Source organism: Homo sapiens, chromosome 4, assembly GCF_000001405.40.
Source record: "Homo sapiens chromosome 4, GRCh38.p14 Primary Assembly".
Lineage (NCBI taxonomy): Eukaryota > Metazoa > Chordata > Mammalia > Primates > Hominidae > Homo > Homo sapiens.
Genome location: NC_000004.12, coordinates 69,192,594 through 69,199,317, shown reverse-complemented (window position 1 = coordinate 69,199,317; position 6,724 = coordinate 69,192,594). Strand labels below are relative to the sequence as shown.

General features: G+C 42.2%; 1 long non-coding RNA gene across 1 annotated transcript in view; it reads right to left on the bottom strand.

The window, feature by feature from the left end:
• LOC105377267 (uncharacterized) overlaps positions 1-6,724 on the bottom strand; it is a 34,668-nt gene that overhangs the window by 17,450 nt on the left and 10,494 nt on the right. Inside the window, exon 2 of the long non-coding RNA NR_136191.1 lies at positions 3,547-3,650. This is a non-coding gene — a long non-coding RNA (uncharacterized LOC105377267). The remainder of the gene's footprint in view (positions 1-3,546; positions 3,651-6,724) is intronic.

Below are 6,724 nucleotides of genomic sequence, written 5' to 3'. Positions count from 1 at the left end.
CTTAGTAGTATTCCATGGTGTATATATATACGTAGTATGTATATGCATGTGTATATATATATGTGTGTGTGTGTGTGTGTGTGTATCAGGGGAACCCATGTTCAATATTTCAATGTAGGTTCTTTCCATTTTCCATAAGTGTTGGCCAGCTGAGAAATAGAGAAAGAGTATAAAGAGAGGAATTTTACAGCTGGGCTACCGGGGGTGACATCACCTATTGTTAGGACCGTGATGCCCAGCATAGCCTCAAACTAGCAAGTTTTCTATTAAGGGTTTCAAAAGGTGGGGTGAGGGGGTGTAAGAACAGGGAGTAGGTACAAAGATCACATGCTTCAAAGGGCAAAAGGCAGAACAAAGATCACATGCTTCTGAGGGAACAGGACAAAAGGCAAAGCAGAACTACTGATAAGGGTCTATATTCAGTGGTGCATGTATTGATAAACATCTTAAACAACAGAAAACAGGGTTCGAGAGCAGAGAACTGGTCTGACCACAAATTTACCAGGGTGGAGATTTTCCCCACCCTAATAAGCCTGAGGGTACTGCAGGAGACCAGGGCATACCTCAGTCCTTATCTCAACCACATAAGACAGACATTCCCAGAGTGGCTGGTTTTAGACCTCCCCCCAGGAATGCATTCCTTTCCCAGAGTACTAATATTAATATTTCTTGCTAGGCTAAGAATTTAGCGATATCTTCCCTACTTGCAAGTCCATTTATAGGCTCTCTGAAAGCAGGAAAATACGGCTGTTTTTGTGTGATCCCACAGGGAGTCAGACCTTACGGTTGTTTTCCCTTGTTCCCTCAAAATTGCTGTTATTCTGTTCTTTTTCAAGGTGCACTGATTTCATATTGTTCAAACACACATGTTTTACAAGCAATTTGTACAGTTAACACAATTATCACAGTGATCCTGAGGTGACATACATCCTCAGGTTATGAAGATAACAGGATTAAGAGATTAAAGTAAGACAGGCATAAGAAATTAGAAAAGTATTATTTGGGAACTGACAAAGGTCCATATTAAAATGAAATCTTCACAATTTATGTTCCTCTGCCACAGCTCCAGCCAGTCCCTCCATTCAGGGTCCCTGACTTCCCACAACATCCCTCCCTTTCTTTTTATATAAATGTGCCATGGTGCAAAGTCTTGTTTGTTCTCTAGGTTTTGACACGGGAATCTTTGACTGGTCCAGCACACTAAAAACAAGTCGATTAAACAGAGAAATATTATTCCAAAATTTACTACCGTGGAGCCCCCAGTAGACTTAATCCAAGTCGTGGGGTTTAGTCCAGAAATACTTTCTGCCACCTGATCTAACGCCTCAGCTCCAGACACAATGGGTAAATGAGCTTGAGAGGCTTCAGAAATTTGTTTCTTTAATTTAGTTATGTCCAAGAATAAATTATCTTCCCTACCCAGAAGGTGTCCTTTGACCATTTTCCATGAATGATCAGTCTCATTGTAGGAATATGGTGTGATACAGAAATCAGAAGTATTCAAATCACACTGCATTTGCATGTGATGTTCGAGACTCATCAGCTGATTTCCAAGCCAAATAACAGACTGTCTTAAATCATTAATTTGATTAGCTAATTTTTGATCAATGTCTTGTTGAGAATTCCACATTTGGGTGGAATTGACTTGCTAATCATTGACAAAATGAGCTGTTTGAATAGATTGGTATAATGCCACTCCAGCAGTGGTTGCCAGTGCAGTGACTCTGATTAGGCCCATGATCACAGCGAATGAAGTGAAAACAAATCTCTTAGATCTTTTGAGAATTCATTGTAACACTTCATTAATTAAATGTACTGAGGGGGAAGATTCCCAAGGTCTGGGTAAAGTTACCAGTATCCAGATTCCTTCTCGAGCTCAAACTAACATTTTACTTTTCCTGGAGTCAAAACACAAGTTAACACAAGTGTATAAATGACAATTAGTGCATTGGACAGTTTGATTGTTTGTCCAAATTTTGATATTTCCCATTAACAGCATGTAAGGAAGCTTAACACAACACTGTATAGAAAAATACAACTTGGAGGTAAAAAAAGCAGAATGTTTGAATCTACACTGATACTGAGGGAAAGGAGTGGCTGTGGCCACGCCCAATGTTCTCTGCCATAAAGAAGGAATCCAAGGTGCCTGGGGATGCTGAAGAGGTAGAGGAGCATACCTGGGTTGAGAAGAATCATCATAATGCCAATTGGAGTCCCATAAAGGGGGATCGGCATCAAACAGAGGAAAAGGGTTCAAACGGGATTTATCATGGGGTTCATAATCACGGATGTGAGGGGCAGTAATTGGGACAACAGACAGAAAATTTTCTCCTTCCCATACTCGCAGTCTGGACATGGCAATATCCAGTTTCCAAATTTCTGAGTGTTCTGGGCTCAGAAAGGGGAATATCATATGAGGCCTCAGGTGAGTAATGCCTTTATCTTCCCATTTTAAGGGAAAGAATGAGCTGAACCTCCTATGCAAAGTAGGATGATGATCCTCTTCCTTCCAATAAGAAATAAAATAAGTAGCCTCCAGGCATTCCCTTCCATCAGAGGAGCAATTGTTTTTTAAATAGCCCTTTGGTGCCCACTCTATTACTAAACCATGAGTCATTTTTTAATAATACTGTATGTGAGTGAACACAATCTTCCCAATTTAAAGTTTTAGATGGGCACTCAAAATTTTTAGGACATTGTTTTCCTACAGGTTTATATTGATGGTATGGGGTATCTCCTATTACTCCCCTTTTCATTTGTCTTAAAGAAGAAAGGGAGGTGCCGGAGACCAAATGTCCCCATTCCCCTGTAGCTAATATCTCCAGAAGATAAGCAGCCCAGACTTGAGTTTCTAAATGGATACTACCAGGTGCATGTGTGAGGCACAGGGGAGGGTACTTATAACCCATAGTAACATTAAACGCAGTGCTTTCTTCTCCTGGTTGAGTGGGACAACAGTCATCTGTAGCTATGGGGCATCACAGTCCTACTGATATGTGATGTCACCCCCCATGACCCAGCTGTAAAATTCCTCTCTTTTTACTCTTTCTCTTTATTTCTCAGCCGGCCAACACTTATGGAAAATAAAAAGAACTTACATTGAAATATTGCAGGTGGGTTCCCCCGATACATGCACACACACACATATATACACACATATATCATTACTTTAGATTTCCACAGGAGCATCCATTTAGGTGAGAGGTTGAATAAGTGGAGGAAAAGGCACTTAAGCCCAGTAGGAATAATTCTGTGAAGCAGATCATTCAGGGGGGAAACTGGTGACACAGAAAGTATAAAGAAGAGAATTATTAAATGAAACCTATTGGAAGTGAGATCCAGTGCTGAAGGAGGAAGAGAAGAACAGAGGGACGTTATTTTCAGGCTAATAGAAATGGTGAGATTTTTAGGTTCATAAGGAGAAAAAGAAAGGGAATTAGGAGAAGTGGGATTGGTTAGAGGGATCTCCGTTGCCATTAGGGAGGATTGAACCAGACCCATTTTGATTTGGCATGCCAGTTTTTGAGAAGTCAGCACAGATCTCACCAGGTAGGAGGGTGGTCTCCGACGCGGACGTCTCTTCCCTGTGGTTTTGTCAGTATTCACACGAAGTCTTCTAGTGGGCAATCAGACCGGTGACTGATGATCTCCTGGTGAAACAAAAGCATATCCTCTTCCCCATGTTATAATTGTTCCAGATTCCCAGGTATTGATCTGGGAGTTTTTCCATAACACTGGCTTGCTTTCATTTAGGGAGAATTTTTTGCCTGTATAATGGTGTTCAGCTATAGTCAGGGTATTGACTTTAGGAACATTTAGAAAGTTTAAAGTAAACAATGCTCAATGTAATTGAGCATGAGGAGTGGTTGAATTATGATTTAAAACCAGCCTTGTCTTTTTTTATAGTGACTTGAAGAGGTTTAGTAATTCCTTCATGTTTTGGACCGAGACCGATTCCAGGAACAAACGTCATGTTTTCCATTATATATAGACTGGGAACACTATAAGAGCTATGTGGAATATTAATTGCAGCCCCCCATTGTTCCAGCTAATCTCTGCCTCAAAGATTAATGGGGATTGGTGTGATATAAGGCTGAATTGTACCTTTTGACCATCAGGGCCAGTGCAAGGCAAGATAAATGTGCTCTGGTGAACTTCATCAGCTTTTCCAACCCCTACTTATCCCATGTTAGTGGGATGTTTAAGCCAGAAGGAAGGCCATACATTAGAGGAAATAATAGAAACATCAGCCCCAGCATCCACTATGCCCTCAAACCTTTTTCCTTGAATGTGTATGGTGCAGGTGGGCCATTGTTTAGAAATTACTTTAATCCAATAAGCGGCTTTTTCACTGTTGGAGCCTATCCCAGAGCCCCCTGTCTTATCTCCTTTGTTTAAAACAATATTAGGTAATAAAAGTAATTGAGCAATTGACTCACCAACTGGAATGGAAACAGGAACCTTGGCAGACACCATAAGTTTAATCTCATCAGAGGAATCAGAATTAATGAGACCAGTAGGAACTATGATACCTTTAGCAGAGGTGGATGTCCTACCTAACACCAGGCCCATGGAACCTTGAGGTAAAGGGCCAGTGACCCCTGTGGGGACAATTAAAAGACAAGAATTAGGTAGTAAATTTAGAGGAATGGTACTATGGAGATCAACCACCCTGCCCCCTACTGTGGAGGTAGACAAGCAGTGTACTGTGACAGAAGAAGAGGCTGGGACCCATCTGGGTTTGCTGTAGGTAAATTTGTTTGTACTGGGGGCTGCGTTAGGACCGCTTCAATTGGAAATGCAACATTGGTCTGAGTCTGAGGTGTGCCATTTGATATTGGGGCCTGGGACTAGCCCTGCTTCCCATTTCCCTGATTCTGTGGCAAGGGATTTCCATCTGTATCAGACTTAGAGTGGCAAGTACTTGCCCAATGTTTACCTTTATGACAATGAGGGCAAACAGTAGCAGGAGCTTTTGGCCATGTTTGTTGAGCTGGCATGGTAGCTTTTAAGTTTTAAACACTGCAAATTTTTTGAGTATGAACAAGTTGACCATGATTATAGCAGGCTCCAAGAAAAGAATCAGTCAAGCCAGTTTAGTTGCCGTCCTTCATGGCCCATGCCCACAGAATAGCTTTGTGGGTCTCTGATCCAATGCCTTCACAAGCTTTAATATATGCAGGCAACACCTCATGATCAGGTAAATTTTCTCATTGGATGGAACGCATGGCCATTATACACTCACGGTTCACATTCTCAAAAGCTAACATTTGAAGGAGAATACCTCGAACGTGCTCATCAGAGACAGATTTTTGAACAGCGTCTTGTTATTTAGCCAAAAAATCAGGATGAAATTCATTGTGACCCTGTTTAACAGTAGTAAAAGAAACAGGAGCTTGGCTTAGGGTGTGAAATTTATCCCAAGCTCTCATACACACCTTTGTTACTTGTTCCATGGTGAGAGCATCAACGCCTAATTGGGTGGTAGTGTCAGAGTAATTACTGGAGCCTGTGAAATGAGCCTGAGTAATTAGAATGCCATCAGCCTGATTTAGCTGAGCCTGTAGACAGGCCTCCTCTGACCACCAGGTATGGAATTGTAAATGCTGAGATGGAGTTAGAACAGCTTTTGCCAAGAAGTCCCAGTCTAAAGGAAGCAAAATGACCTCAGTACAAAGAGTCTGTAATACCATTTTAACATATGTAGAAGTAGGAGCATACTGAGTACAAGCATCCTTGAATTCTTTTAAAAAGGTAAGATTGAGTGGCACATATCGACACACTTGTACCCCTTGAGCATTAGGAGATTCCAGCACAACTGGATAAGCCCACGCGTCTAATCCACTTGTTTCTTTATTCTGGAGTAATAAGCATTGCATGAAAGTTTCAAGAACAGGCACATGAGATGGAGTTGGCATATAAGTGACAGAAAAAGTATGTGTAGACAAGGCAAACTGAGGTTGAGGAGGTCGGACTGGTATAAGAGTGTGAGAAAGAGGCATTGGGGGAGCAGAAGAGGCAGAAACATACTGGTGATTATTGGCCCAATCCTGTGCAACCAGAGTGGCAGGGGCATCCACGTGTGAAGAAGGGTACAGAGAAGCAGGTTGAGTGGATGGCAAAGTGACCGGTTGAGGGACCAAAATTACAGGAGGGTGAGGGGCTGCAGTGGATGGGGGAGGACTTGCAGAATTACAGGTAAATTGTGGTTTGGTCCTAGAGTGATTAGATGGCTCTGGAGGCTAAGACTGCAAAGAGTTGGAGAGGGAAGAGTTAGTGTAGATATGGTCCCAGGCTGTCCAAGTCGGGGCTGTGGGAGCTACAAATACTGGCTCTTCATGAAAAGAAATAAGATCATCAGGGGGAACGTTAAGCCAAAGTCACCGGAGTTAGATATTGAATCCTCAACATCATCAGGTGGAGGAAAAGTAGGCAAGGGAAGAGGCTGAGCAGATAACGAATGCCAAGTGGGAGAGAAAAGCTGAGGAAGAGGTAGAGGGTCACCAGATTCAGAAAACTGTGGTAACTGCAGGGGGTCACAGGATTGGTATGTCATTAGGACAGCACGTACCAAGGTCCAATCACCCCAAACAGTGATGGGAACATAATTTCCCATCAGGACCAGTTCCTGGAATTTTGCACCAACATGATCCCATAGTTCCACATCTAATGTTCGCTTTTCAGGAAAACAAGGACTGTAGTCCTCCACTGCCCTGAATATGGT